Source organism: Homo sapiens, chromosome 9 (genome assembly GCF_000001405.40).
Source record: "Homo sapiens chromosome 9, GRCh38.p14 Primary Assembly".
Classification (NCBI taxonomy): domain Eukaryota; kingdom Metazoa; phylum Chordata; class Mammalia; order Primates; family Hominidae; genus Homo; species Homo sapiens.
This window is the reverse complement of record NC_000009.12, coordinates 96,536,459-96,551,790: the sequence shown is the minus strand read 5'-3', so window position 1 is coordinate 96,551,790 and position 15,332 is coordinate 96,536,459. Positions and strand designations below refer to the sequence as shown.

The following is a 15,332-nucleotide window of genomic DNA, read 5'->3' as shown; positions in this document are numbered from 1 at the left end:
TATAAGAATGATGTGGTAGATTCAGGTAATCAGATCCTTGCCAGAAATATCTTGATAGTTGTTTCTGAAAAAAGAAGATCTGGTAAATAGTCATTTTAGGATGAGCGCAAATAACACCACAGATCTGGGTTTTTCCACAGTGACACTGTTGACGTTTTGTCATGGAGGCTATCTTGTGCGTCGTAGCATGTTTAGTGGCCTCCGTGGCTTCTGCCCACTAGATGCTGGTAAAATCCCCACACCCACTCTAATTGTCAAAACTCAGAATGTCTTCAGACATTGCCATATATCCCTGTAAGTGACCTTGGGGGATGGAGAGCAAAATCTCCCTACGCTGAGAACTACTGCCATTGATGAAAACTAAGCTTTGGCTGGGCACAGTGGCTCATGCCTGTAATCCCAGCATATTGGAATGCCAAGGTGGAATGATTGCGTGAGCCCAGGAGTTCCAGACCAGCCTCGGCAACAAAGACAGACCCCATCTCTATAAAAAAATTTTAAAAAAAATTAGCCAGGCGTGGTTGCACATGCCTGTAGTCCCAGCTACTTGGGAGACTGAGGCTGGAGGATTGTTTGAGCCTAGGAGTTCGAGGGTGCAGTGAGTGAGCTATGGTCATACCACAGCACTCAAGCCTGGGCAATAGAGAGATAACTTGTCTCAAAAAAAAAAAAAAAAAAAGCAAACCCCAAAACCTAGGCTTTGTATCAGGTGAGAATCCTGGGTTATTGTACTCAAAACTACCACTGAGGAGTGTGGTTCCTGAGAAGTTAAGAAACGTTCCCAATAATCAGTAGTTACTTTCTGGGACCAAAATGAACCCCTTTTTTCTGGGGACACAGTCAGTAGAGACAGTCGATAAGGTTGCTAATGCAGTACCACTTCCAGAAAAACCAGTCAAGTCACTGTGTTCCAGAGGTGGTAGTTAGTGATGTCTACAGGAATGGATGACATCATCTCAAACTTAGCATGCGATTGTGTTGAAGATATTTCTAGAAGACTAGTGCTTAAATCAAGTTCTAAAAATTTTTCTGCTCGTTTATCAAAATACTTGACTTAGCTCTATAGTTTAAATACTTGTATGGTACTTAATGGGTAATAAATGTATGAAATAATTTTACTCATTGAAGACTTTGATATTTTCAAAAACTGCTTGTTCTTCCATTCACAAATTAATAATAACTATTGCTTATTAGTTCATTGTTCAAACTAATTAGTTCGTTAGTTTATCGTATTAGGATTGTTACATAAACCACAAATGCCTGATTTTGAATGTATGGCCCTAACTTTAAAAAAGGGAGTTTGTGAATCTGACTTTATTGTAGATGAGCCTTGGGATGGGTATTTCTAATTATTGGCAGAATCTCCCTTTCAAATAACTTTATAGGCCTGCCTGTGGACTTACTCCATGAAATAACAATTTGTCAGGGCAGTCTGAAGACTTCAGTAATACGCTGCATGAAAAATTGTGAAAATCTGTGATTGAGCAAATTAGAATTGGCTTGAACCCAGTATCATCCCTTTCTGCTAGCTCATGGCTCATCTTAAGTATTCTTTTATTTGAGGTGGGTAGGAAGGGAAGAGGGGGAAATAAAGATCATTTTCTAAGCTGGAAAATTCTTCTCAACCTATAACATAATAGCAACCACATTCTTCCTTTAAAAGAAATGCTTGTATTTTTGGTCTTGAGTCACAGGCACCTTGGTCATCTCTTGATGTAGTGACATTTGTTCTATAGAACTCTTCTTTATAATGGTAATCTTTTGTGATGCCACTCTTAGATTTACAGCACAAGGTCCTGAAATAGGAACATGCTCACACATTTCGCACTGTGCAATGAAGGATCCATGGAACACTGTTGATGTGAAAAAAGACGTTTTGAGTTAATTTAAATACAGGTGCCAAAAACAGAATAAGCATTGCTTACTGCCTTGCTATGTTTCAAATTATTAAAGTTTGGCACTGAGAAATGAAGTTAGTTCCTTTTGGTCCCAGGAGCATCAGTCAGTAATTCTCCAAAAGGCAAGACTTAGCTAGAAACCATTCAGCTTTGTGGAATTTGAATCTCTTCTATTGTAGATACTAGGTATTTGATTTATCTAAACAGTGTTTCTTTCTTTTTTTTTTTTTAGACGGAGTCTTGCTCTGTCGCTAAGCTGGAGTGCAGTGGTGCAATCTGGACTCACTGCAACCTCTGCCTCCCAAGTTCAAGCGATTCTTCTGCCTCAGCCTCCCGAGTAGCTAGGACTACAGGCGTGTGCCACCACGCCTGGCTAATTTTTGTATTTTTAGTAGAGAATGGGGTTTCACCATGTTGGCCAGGATGTCTTGATCTCTTGACCTCATGATCCGCCCGCCTCAGCCTCCCAAAGTGCTGGGATTTCATAAAGTGTGGCCTGTGAACTGGTGCCGATCTGTGACATTTTGTTACCAGCCTGTGTTGAGATAAATACAGAAGTTGAGAATAAGATTTTAGAAACATTTATAGTTATCGAATAGAGCAATTTTATGTCTGTAGAATCAAATAGTAGAAGAAATTTGAGCTTGTATTTTGTTTTTTTTCCCCTTTCATTTTTCTAGTAATTTATTTTATTCACAAAAATAAGATTATTGCATTACTGGATATGTAATAGTATAGTACTATTGCATTTCATATTTATCTTACAAAAGTGTCAACCTGTGATAGACTTAGTTTTTAAATTTAGTGCTTCTTCACATAGTGTTCTATAGAACTTATCAATTAGAAAGTAGTCCAATCAGAATTAATAAAGCCTGATAATATTTTGATAGAAATGACATTATATTCTTTGTATCTTGCCACTTTAAGTACATAGAATAAATATGACCAACAAAGTATTGCTAACACGACGTTGTGCAAGAATGGCATTCATTTATAGCAAATAAGTTCTTTTATGTTCTGTAGCAATGTTTTATTTAATTAGATTTAATTCAACTTAGATAGAATTCTCTCTCTCTCTTTTTTTTTTTTTTAAAGACAGATTCTTGCTCTGTCACCCAGGCTGGAGTTCAGTGGCGCAATCTTGGCTCACTGCAACCTCTGCCTCCCAGGTTCAGGGAATTCTCATGTCTCAGCCTCTAGAGCAGATGCCACCATGCCCGGCTAATTTTTGTATTTTTAGTAGAGATGGGGTTTCACTAAGTTGCCCAGGCTGGTCTCAACCCCCTGGCCTGAAGTGATCCGCCTACCTTGGCCTCCCAAAGTGCTGGGATTACAGGGGTGAGCCACTGTGCCCAGCCTTCTTTAACCACTGAGTTTTAAAGTGTGTGTGTATGTATGTGTGTGTGTATGTGTGTATATGATTTCTTATTGAGTTATATTAAATATTTCTCTGTGTCTGGTCTGCATAATTAAATAGTATAAAATATAGTTTAATTTTTTTTAAATATCATAGGATCATTGTTATGAACAGTGTGTATTTCTGTTCTCTGGTATTATCTGTTATAATACTCTTTGCTTCTTAGTTGTTTTTGTGTGTGTGGGGCTTGCCTCTGCTTCCTGTTTTCTTGAGAGGTAGTATTGTATATTTGTTAATAGCTTGACTTGACATCAGACAGATGGGAGTCTTGCTGTCAGCTCTGCTACTGACATCTCTGTGGTCCTTTACAGATTTGAGCCTTGGTCTCCTAGTCTTTAAACAGAAACAATAGGCTGGGCGCTGTGGCTCACGCCTGTAATCCTAGCACTTTGGGAGGCTGAGGTGGGCAGATCACAAGGTCAGGAGATCGAGACCATCCTGGCTAACACGGTGAAACCCCGTCTCTACTAAAAATACAAAAAATTAGCCAGGCGTGGTGGCGGGCGCCTATAGTCCCAGCTACTCAGGAGGCTGAGGCAGGAGAATGCTGTGAACCCGGGAGGCAGAGCTTGCATTGAGCTGAGATGGTGCCACTGCACTCCAGCCTGGGCAACAGAGCGAGGCTCCATCTCAAAAAAAAAACAGAAACAGAAACAATAATACATTCTCTCTCAAGGAGTTGTGAGGATGAAGTGACATCCTGCATATAAAACACTTGGTATAGGCTGGGCATGGTGGCTCATGCCTATAATTCCAGCACTTCGGAAGGCTGAGGCAGGAGGATAGCTTGAGGCCAGGATTTGGAAGATCAGCCTTGCAGCATAGCAAGACCATTTCTCTTTGGGGAAAAAAAAATTAGCTGGGCAGGGTGGCATGTGTCTGTAGTCCTAGCTACTTGGGAGACTAAGGCAGGAGGATCCCTCAAGCCTAGGAGGCTTCAGTGAGCTTTCATTATGCCACTGCACTCAGCCTGCACAACAGAACAAGACCGTATCTTTTTTTTTTTTTTTAAGACAGACTCTCGCTCTGTCACCCAGGCTGGAGTGCATTGGTGTGATCTCGGCTCACTGCAGCCTCCACCTCCTGGGTTCAAGCGATTCTCCTGCCTCAGCCTCCTGAGTAGCTGGGATTACAGGTGCCCGCCACCACACCTGGCTAATTTTTTGTATTTTTAGTAGAGATGGGGTTTTGCCATGTTGGCCAGGCTGGTCTTGAACTCCCGACCTCAGGTGATCCACCAGCCTCGGCTTCCCAGAGTGCTGGAATTACAGGCATGAGCCACTGTGCCTGGCCAAGACCCTGTCTCTTAAAAAAAAAACAAACACTTGATATAGTACCTGGCCTTTAACTAATATTTGTTAAATATTCCAACCTTCCCCCTTTTAAGTTGACTGTCATTTAGCTACTTTTTTTTGAGTCGGAGTCTTGCTCTGTCGCCCAGGCTGGAGTGCAGTGGCACGATCTTGGCTCACGGCAAGCTCCGCCTCCTGGGTTCACGCCATTCTCCTGCCTCAGCCTCCCAAGTAGCTGGGACTACAGGCGCCTGCCACCACGCCCAGCTAATTTTTTGTATTTTTAGTAGAGACGGGGTTTCACTGTGTTAGCCAGGATGGTCTCAATCTCCTGACCTCATGATCCTCCCGCCTCAGGTTCCCAAAGTGCTGGGATTACAGGCATGAGCCACCGAGCCCGGCCATTTACCTACATGTTTAAAAATCACTGTCGTGGCCGGGCGCGGTGGCTCACGCCTGTAATCCTGCCACTTTGGGAGGCTGAGGCAAGTGGATCACCTGAGGTCAGGAGTTCAAGATGAGCCTGGCCAACGTGGTAAAACCCTGTCTCTACTAAAAATACAAAAATTAGCAGGGCATGGTGGTGCACACCTGTAATCCCAGCTACTTGGGAGGCTGAGGCACGAGAATCACTTCAACCTGAGAGGCGGAGATTGCAGTGAGCTGAGATCGTGTCATTGCACTCCAGCCTGGGCGACAAGAGCGAAACTCCGTCCCCACCCCACTCCCCGCAAAAAAAAAAAAAAATTCTCTGTCTCCTAGATTTCCCTCCCACCCCTTTCCAGTCAGTCATCACCCCCAGCTAATCATTGCTCTGACTTCTACCACTATCAGTTTTGCTTGCCTTTGAACTTGATATTACTGGTATGCATTTTGGGGAGCTGTCAACTGGATTTCACATATGTAATGTCTATGAGATTTACCTGTGTTGTGGAAGGTATCAGTAGTTCATCCTTTTTTATTCCTTTTGTAGCATTCCAGTCTATGAGTATACCACAATTTATTTGCCTGTGGTCCTTTTGATGGATATTTGGGTCATTCGTAGTTTTTGGCCGTGGTGAATACGAGCTGTTACGAAAGCTGCCATTCTTTAAAACTAGTATTTGACATTGTTGTGCAGTTTCTAAGCAGTGCCCATTTATTGATTCTTACGTGTTTTCCAAATTTGTTAAATGATCTTGGTGACAAGGATCCCTCCCCACTGCCCAAGGCTTATAAACTGAGCCTCAGAGTTGCTGTTCTGCCTATTGGAAGAAGGCTGAATGCAAGGTGGGAGGAAGATGTGATGTGGGTGTGTCTAAAATTGGAGGTGCTAATGAAATACACTTGAGTGAGCAAAGATTCTTGTCGTATATTCAGATTCTATGATGTATGAGGCAGGACTTCAGCAGGGCCCAGATGAAAGCGTGTGAAATCATCACAGATTGGAGCGGGGCTGTGCCCCACAGTAGGTTCTCAAAAAAAAAAAAAAAGCATTGAAGAAATTTGCCAAAATGTCACAGAGACTGAATCAACATGTCTTTAACTTGATTGGAAAAGATTATCAGTAGGTTAAGAAGATAATCAAGCCAGGCGCAGTGGCTCACGCCTATAATCCCAGCACTTTGGAAGGCCAAGGTAGGTGGATCACGAGGTCAGGAGATTGAGACCATCCTGGCTAACACAGTGAAACTCCATCTCTACTGAAAATACAAAAAAATTAGCTGGGCGTGGTGGCAGGCGCCTGTAGTCCCAGTTATTTGGGAGGCTGAGGCAGGAGAATGTTGTGAACCCAGGAGGTGGAGCTTACAGTGAGCCAAGATCGCGCCACTGCACTCACTCCAGGGGGAGACTGTCAAAAAAAAAAAAAAAAAAGAAAATAATCATACTCCTTCACAGAGAAGACATGGTTAAAATCATTGGGATCCAACTTGAGGGTTTACCCCATTTCCATTGATAATTTTGATTTGATTTAGGCTAAAGTACTTCATTTTCCTGCCTTAGTTTCTCTACCTAAATGGGTTCTTTATTCCATGAACACCCTATTTCTACAAAACCAGGATTTGTGTTGATTTGTAGGTTGGTGATTCATAAACTTGAACACAATCACAGACAACTAGAGGACCTGTTAAGACACAAATTACCTGGCCCTATCCCGAGAACTTTGATTCAGTAGATGTGGGGTAGCCCTGAGAATTTGCATTTCTAACAGGTGGGGTGGTCCTGGTGCTGCTGGCCTGGGGACCACTGCTGGAAGTCCTTTTGTTTTTTTCTTTCTGAATATTGCCAATAAAGTGTTGGTAAAATCGTGGCCTTTTAGGTTAAAGACTTTTTCTAGGATGTGGAAGAGAAGTTTTTCACTTCAGAACCTTACAGAACAAAAATGGTGTGTTCTAAGACCTTGTGTTGGCTGAACGCAGTGGCTCACACCTGTAATCCCAGCACTTTGGGAGGCTGAGGCAGGCAGAGTGCTTGAGCTCAGGAGTTCGAGACCAGCCTGGGCAACATGGTGAAACCCCAACTCTACCAAAAAATACGAAAACTTAGCCAGGCCTGGTGGTGTGCACCTTTGGTCCCAGCTACTCCAGAGGCTGAGGTGGGAGGATCGCTTTAGCCCAGGAGGTCAAGGCTGCAGTGAGCCATGATTGCACCACTGCACTCCAGCCTGGGCAACATAGTGAGACCGTGTCTCAAAAAAAGAAAACAAGACCCTGCATTCTGTCCTCATGAAGGTTCGCATAGCTCAGTAATTCTAAGCAGCTCAGTCAGTAACATTGAAGACGATTTTAGCTAAAAAGGATGCCTTTTCTTGCCCTCATTGCTGTAGTTTTGGCCCTTAAGGTTTGAGCAAGAATTAAAAGTTTAAAATGTGGTTTAGTTTTTATTCTAACATTTGTGGAATATTCATTTTCCCCTTTTAAGTTAATGTATAACTTATAGTTTTTAACAAAAACACTAATCTTTTTTTATTTTATTTTATTTTTTTGAGATGGGAGTCTCGCTCTGTCACCAGGCTGGAGTGCAGTGGCGTGCGATCTTGGCTCATTGCAACCTCTGCCTCCCAGGTTCAAGTGATTCTCCTTCCTCAGCCTCCCGGGTAGCTGGGACTACAGGTGCGCGCCACCATGCCCGGCTAATTTTTATGTTTTTAGTAGAGACAGGGTTTCACCATGTTGGCCAGGATGGTCTCAATCTCTTGACCTCGTGATCCACCTGCCTCGGCCTCCCAAAGTGCTGGGATTACAGGCGTGAGCCACCACGCCCGGCCTCAAAAACACTAATCTTAAGTGTACAGTAGTAAGGTTTTACATGTATTTATGTAACTACCACACAGTAAGAAATATTACAGTGTGAAGACCCAAATAAGGTGGGGAATTAGTGATAGCTCCACCAGCAACCCTGTTTCCCCAGGAGCAAATGAGTACCATTCAGATAGGCACAGTTTTTCTGCATGCCTAGCTTAATCATAATTAAATTAATTTTTATGTTGCCTAATTCCAGAAGATTTCATCTTGTAATGGCTCAAGGTAGCCAAAAAGGAGAAGCAGGGTAGGGGTCGGGGTGCCTTATTTCTCTGGGTAAAACCTTACTTGATATTAAGAGATTTGTATAGGAAGATTTACTGGTATGTATTGATGCAGTGTTTGGCTGGAGTTGTCTGTAAAGTAATATAAGCACTTTCCCAAAACTAGAGTGATCCTGTGGAAGGTAGTTGACTTGTTAGTTCCTGTGGTTTTATTGGTATTACTGTCCTTTAAAAATCAGAAAGAAGGTAGGGCACAGCTGTTTACACCTGTAATCTCAACACTTCGGGAGGCCAAAAAGGTGAGAAGACTGCTTGAGGCTAGAAGTTTTTTTTTTTTTTGAGACGAGTCTCGAGTCTCGCTCTGTCACCCAGGCTGGAGTGCAATGGCGCAAGCTCCGCTCACTGCAAGCTCCGCCTCCGGGTTCACGCCATTCTCCTGCCTCAGCCTCGGAGTAGCTGGGACTACAGGTGCCCCCCACCACGCCCGGCTCATTTTTCGTATTTTTAGTAGAGACAGGGTTTCACCGTGTTAGCCAGGAAGATCTCGATCTCCTCACCTTGTGATCCACTTGCCTCGGCCTCGCAAAGTGGTGGGATTACAGGCGTTAGCCACTGTGCCCAGCCAGTTGTGTGGGTGTTTTGGGCTTGTTGTTTTTTGTTTTTTGTTTTTTGAGATAGAGTCTCACTTTGTCGCCCAGGCTGGAGTGCAGTGGCATGATCTCGGCTCACTGCAACCTCCATCTCTCTTGTTCAAGCAATTCTCTGCCTTAGCCTCCTGAGTAGCTGGGATTACAGGCGCCCACCACCGTGCCTGGCTAATTTTTGTATTTTTAGTAGAGACAGGGTTTCATCATCTTAGCCAGGCTGGTCTTGAACTCCTGACCTCGTGATCCACCTGCCTCGGCCTCCCTAAGTGCTGGGATTACATGCCTGAGCCACTGCGCCCGGCAGAGGCCGGGAGTTTAAGACCAGCCTTGGTATCATAATGAGACTCCATCTCTACCTTAAAAAAAAAAAAAAAAGTTAGCTAGATGCGGTGATACATGCCTGTGGTCCTTGCTACTGGGGACACTGAGGTGGGAGGATCACTTAAACCCAGGAGTTTGAGGCTGCAGTGAGCTGCACTGCACCCCAACATGGGCAACAGGGCAAGACGTTATCTCTATAAAAAAGTTTAAAAAAAAAACCCAGAAGTTACCCAGTTAAATGGGTAAAAGTCTTTAGGATAACGATAGCAACAAAATGCTTATGACCTTCTACCTAATATTTTAAATGTGACCTTGATTTCTCAGTATTTCTGTCATACTTGGTTGGAGACACACACACACAGACAGACACACGTATAAATAGACACACATACACACATATGTTTATTACAGGATCAAAAAGCAGTCTTTCCCAGTAAGATTTTCATACGGTATTTTCCAGTTTAAAGAAAAAATTCAAATGCTTTGCCCCTTTGGGGGAGAGATAGGTATTGATTTGTTGAATTCAAGAAGGTGGCTCAGCTGTTAAAGCCAAAAATAATCCAGAGAGAACATTTGAAATTTAGGAAGTGGTCATTATTGATCCAGGCCCATAAAACAGTACCTATTGGAATAGGTAGAAACTGCAGTGAAATTTGTAATTGATTTATCTTTTATTTAAAAGTCAAAAGGCGAGATTTTTTTCTTCTTGATAATGGTTCAGAGTGTACATTTGATTTTAAATTCTAGTCACCTTTGTCTTAGGTAAGTGTAATTGCAGAAAATTAACTGATCTACATTTTATTACTCTTGGGTTTCAGAGATGCTGCCTATGGAAGTTGCAATTTCTACATTACACTTCTTGACTGTTTTCATGCAGTAAAGAAGGTGAGTGACATGTAGGATGCACCCAGTGTTGTGTTGAGGAACTAACATGCGGTCCAAGAAAACTAGGCCTTCTTCCCGAGATCTTTTTGTTAGTGTTTCTTCCAAGATGCCTATGGTGACAGAGGTGCTCCATTTCCCAACTAATGTCAGAATGAGACCAAACCAGGAAACAGTTTATTCTGAATTTCTGAGTGCTTCTATGTATGAGTTGGGGGAAAAGTCACTTAAGAAACAGGGAAAATAAGAGTTATACGATTAGGTTCTAGATCCAGAATTGGTTTTGAGTATATTATGATCTAAAAGAACAAAAGTAAAGATGACTTGTTTACTGGTAAGTTCTCTTTGATTTGTATATTCTATATACCTGATTCCTGCCAATACCATTACAACAGACGTAACACAGTCACTGTCAAACACTTCATTTTTGTTTTGTCAGGCGTTCAATTTCTAGTTCAACAGAATTTGAATGCCTCAATTAGTTTGTTATACAGTTTTATGTGAAACTAAGTGGGTCACTGCTGCTTTGTCAAACTATTTCCAAGTGATTCCTTGGGTCATAACCAGGGCTGCTGTGTTGATTCCAGGGGACACCCTCCCTATCACGTTCTACGTGAACAGGGTCCCCTGGGGTCACACAGTGCAGCAAGTCCTGGTATTAATGTCAGGACAGCAGGAGAAACTAGAATGGTAAATCAGTAGCCCATGGATCAAATAAGCCTTTGACAGCATTTTTCTGTAACTTGTGCTTTTAGAGCCAAAAGGAACCCAGGTTTACTTTCTTGTATAATGAAACATGGTGGCTTGCTGGGAATTGTGACAGACATGTCTTAAAACGAGAGGACTAATCAGCATACAAATTCAGAGACTAATTGATATACTTTTTTCCCTGTATCAATCAATGAGGTATGGGCACATTGTTTGGATTTGAGCCCAGTGACTGTGGGATATGGAGCTGATTGGGGTAGTTGCCATGAGCTCTGAGGCGGCTCCATGGGCCCTCAGTGTGGGCAGGTATGGGGCACTGGTGGAAATCAGGAGACCAAAGGGCAACAGGTGTAAATGGTACCTTCTGGTTGCAGTTGCAGCCCCTGCCAGGTGGGCTCATGCAGGCAGGCACACTCACCTTTAAAAAGAGAAAAGTAAAGCTTTGAGGGGTTTGGAAATGATCTATTATAACACCATATGGCAGCTTCTATTATTATTTTTTGGCTTTTTTTTTTTTAATTGGGTATTGCACCCAAAGTCAATTAGCTGGTACGATAGGTCAAAGATTGCCATTTGCATACTATATTTTGGGTTTTTTTAAAATTAAATTTTCATTTTTTCTGCTATGCTCAGCTAATTTTTATATTTTTTGTGGAGATGAGGTCTCACTATGTTGCCTAGGCTGGTCTCAAACTCCTGAGCTCAAGCGATCCACTCACCTTGGCCTCCCAAAGTGCTGGGATTACAGGCGTGCACCACCGCACCCAGCCACTATATTTAGTTTTATTTAAGGGTCACTATCTTCTGATTTGCAGTGTAAGCATTTTTTATTTGTGACTGATTTTGAATATTGCATATATGAAGAAACATGCATCAATGTAATTATGTTTTCAGTGTGATTCACTTCCAATAAGATCACCTCATGAAATTCAAAGGAAAATAGGAATTCCTTATAAACTACTTTTTTTTATTGTTTCATTCTATTAGAAATAGCTGTAGTCCAAAATCATGAAATATATTGCAGTCAAGGAAATAAATTTTGTGATTGACTTAGTCTTGGGATTAGTGTTTAAATAACTATATAAAATGAAGACCTTTTTAGTTGATATTCTAGCCTTCTTATTTTACATTTGTATTTCAGTAGTTTACTTTTGAAAACTGGGTGTACAAAAGCCCCCTCTTTGAACCAAGAATACCTTGTGGATCAGCAATTCTTGCTTCCCTCCTGTTTGGCTCAGGGATCAGCAGCCAGGAGGATATTTCTCAGAGGCTGCTAGGTCTGTTTGTCCTTGTCTCAGAAAATAGACACTCTGCTTATTTTGGTTATCATACTCTGCCTGCTATCACACAGAGTAAGGCTATAGGATAGGACAGAAATTTTTTTTGTTTTATTCCTATGGAAAGAATATCTTTTTTTTCCTCAAAAGTTTTGATTTTAGTGTTGATGTCAGAGCTGTTTACTTTAGGGAACATTGATTAAAGACTGTTCGGAAGAATTTGAAAATGAAGATATGGATGAAGTATGAGGGTTTTGTTTGGGATAAACTAGCACATGGATTCTCTCCTCTTTCTTATCGATGTAGAGACCATTGGGTTGTGCATTATATTTGAATCCTAAACTTCTGAATTTTCAGCCAGGGGTGGTAGTGATCTGGTAAGAGAAGAGGATTACTTTCAGGGCGTGATTATTTAACAATACATGGATAGGATGACTGGTGAATGAAAATAAAAAAGCACATCTCACAAACAAAATCCAAACAAAACACAACAAACTTATTACATATAGTTATAATTAATTTCCATATAAAAGAAGCACTTAGAAGACGCCGCCCACTTCCTTTGAAAGCTGTTCAGTGGAAAGTAATCTGATCATGACAATACTTTCTTGGGGGGCCCCTGATATTTAGTATTCTGAAATTGGATAGGAAACTGTTTTCTTATTTGCATCCTTGTTCTTAAAAGCTTTCTTTTGGATTTTAGGCAATGCAGTATGGCTTCCTTAATTTCAACTCATTTAACCTTGATGAATATGAACACTATGAAGTAAGTCTTCAAGGATCATGTTTTCAACTCTTCCTCCCCCCGCCCAGCTTTATTGAGGGGAATAATTGACAAATAAAACTTATATATACTTAAGATGTACAAAGTAATGTTTTGATATATGTATACACCATGAAATGATTACCTAATCAAGCTAATTAACATATTCATCACCTCACATAATTTAGTCTTTTGGCGTGTGTGATGAGAATACCTGAGATGTACTCTAGCAGATTTCAAGCATACAGTACACACATTAGATCTCCAGAATTTACTTATCCTCTGATGGTTTGTACTCTGACCAAAATTTCTCTGCCTGTTTTTAATTTTTCTTTTTTTAAATTGAAAAAAAAAGAGAGAGACCAAGTCTCGCTCTGTTACCTAGGCTGAAGTGCAGTGGTATACATGGCTCACTGCAGCCTTGAACTTCTGGGATTAAATGATCCTCTCTCTTCAGCCTCCCAAGTAGCTGGAATCACAGGTATGTACCACCATGCCAGGCTAATTTTTTAATTTTTATTTTTGTAGAGATGGGGTTTCACTTTGTTGCCCAGGCTAGAGTTGAACTCCTGGCCTCAAGCACTTCTCCCACCTTGGCCTCCCAAAGTGCTAGGATCACAGATGTGTGCCACTGTGCACGGCCCTGTTTTTAGCTTTCTTAATCACCCATTTCACTTACAGAAGCAATATTCTTGTTTTGTTTTAGACGTGTATAGAGTGAAAAAAAGTCAAGTCTTCATCTTCTTATCCCTATTTCTCCTGTCCCAATTCTCAGTGGGAATTTCTGCATTTGATGCACAATTCTAGAGTGAATGAGTGTGCCCCGTGTGTTCTTTATACTGTTTAGTTTAAATGTATTTTAGTATTGATGGCTGTCACACAGTGATTGAGATGCTTTTAAAACCCTTAGCATAGAATAAGATGAGATGAATAGTCATTATACACCTAATTATCTCTGGAAAATATCTTTGTTTTTGCCATAACCTTCGGTTTGTCAGGACACTTCTGGTTGCAAGTTACAGAAAGTAAACACAAATAGCTTAAATAAAAAAGGAAAAATCTGCCAGGCGCAGTGGCTCATGCCTGTAATCCTAGCACTTTGGGAGGCCTAGAGGGGCAGATTGCCTGAGCTCAGGAGTTTGAGATCAGCCTGGGCAACATGGTGAAACCTCATCTCTAAAATACAAAAAGTTAGCCAGGCGTGGTGGTGGGCGCCTGTAGTCCCAGCTACTCAGGAGGCTGAGGCAGGAGAATCACTTGAACCCGGGAGGCAGAGGTTGCCGTGAGCCAAGATCACCCCACTGCACTCCAGCCTGGGTGACAGAGCAAGATTCTGTCTCAAAAAAAAGGGAAAAATTTACTGGATTACATAAATTAAAAGTCCAGGAATAGGATTGGCTTCTAGCATGCCCCTTCAGGTGCTCAGACACTTAATCAGAAATTGGACTTGAAGTTAGTTTTATTCTCAGGCCAGCCTTCTCCAGTAGTGATAAAGATGGCCACCAGCAACTTTGACCTGCCAGTTTGGCAAAATGATCAGAAAAGTGTAATCTTAGCTCCATCAGAAGGCCCAGGAATGCCTCTCACTGGCCTGACTTACGTCATGTGCCCATCTCTGCACCAGCCTGTGTTCTTTGGCAGGGCAGGGCTAAGGAATACTCTGGCCAGCCTTAGTTCTCTGGCCATCCCAGGAGCCTGGGGCATAGGGTCAGCCCCATCAAACCAGCCGGACCAAAAAAAAATTTATTTTCTAACAGTTTTATTTTATTTTATTTTTCTTTCTTTCTTTTTTAGAGACAGGGTCTCACTCTGCTGCCCAGGCTGGAGTGCAGTGGTGCGATCTTGGCTCACTGCATTCTCTCTCCCAGGTTCAAGTGATCCTCCCACCTCAGCCTCCCAGTAACGGGGACTACAGGCACGTGCCACCATGCCCAGCTAATTTTGTAATTTTTTTGTAGAGATGGGATTTCGCCATGTTTCCCAGCCTGGTCACAAACTCCTGCACTCAAGGGATCTACCTGCCTCAGTCTCCCAAAGTGCTGGGATTACAGATGTAAGCCACGGCACCCAACCACACAAAATTTCTTAAAAACATAGGACAGGGCCAGGGAGAGATAAGCCAGGCAAAACCACAGGTGTGTTCTATGTTTTTTAACATAGTATATATATTTTAAAAAGAATAAATAATTTGATTCTACAGCTTTATCCTCCAAATAGGGAATGAGTAAGATACTGTGCTAAAGCCCTTTTCAGCCCAGAGTAGTTGTAGCCTCCTGTCTTCTTACCCTGCTGTAGTTACCTTGAGCAGACTTGCTCCCCAGCACTGGGGAGATGATTCCTCAAACAGCAGCACTTCATGTGGCAGCATCTTGAATCCTCAGAGAATTCTTTTTCACAACGTCCAAAGTAAATATTATTTCAAACTCTTACGTTTAACTGAACTGTTTTTTCAATTTCAGTTAATAATGACACTCAGTTGTTTCTGTGATGTACCAAAGATGTAAGAATACATTGTAGGATTCATTAGGGCCAACCCTGTCTTTACTTCTCTGATAGCAGTCCATTTCTAAAGTACAACGTACATTTAACTAGCACCTTAAACTTACAGAATATAGCTAAGTT

General features: G+C 41.8%; 1 protein-coding gene across 36 annotated transcripts in view; it reads left to right on the top strand.

Moving 5' to 3' along the window:
* The window catches only part of CDC14B (cell division cycle 14B), a 128,905-nt gene that overhangs the window by 68,053 nt on the left and 45,520 nt on the right, over positions 1-15,332 (top strand). For 32 of the 36 annotated variants that reach the window (XR_007061367.1, XR_007061366.1, XR_929864.4 and 29 more), the window contains 2 exons: positions 9,899-9,965; positions 12,651-12,713. The exons of 3 other annotated variants lie outside the window; for them this stretch is intronic. Coding sequence is in view for 26 of the 33 variants with exons in the window: in XM_047423999.1 (XP_047279955.1) it covers positions 9,899-9,965; positions 12,651-12,713 (130 nt within the window). In the remaining 7 variants the exon portion in view is untranslated. Of the gene's footprint in view, positions 1-9,898; positions 9,966-12,650; positions 12,714-14,742; positions 14,846-15,332 lie in introns of those variants that run through there. One more of the 36 variants, XM_047424006.1, reaches the window with a different exon arrangement.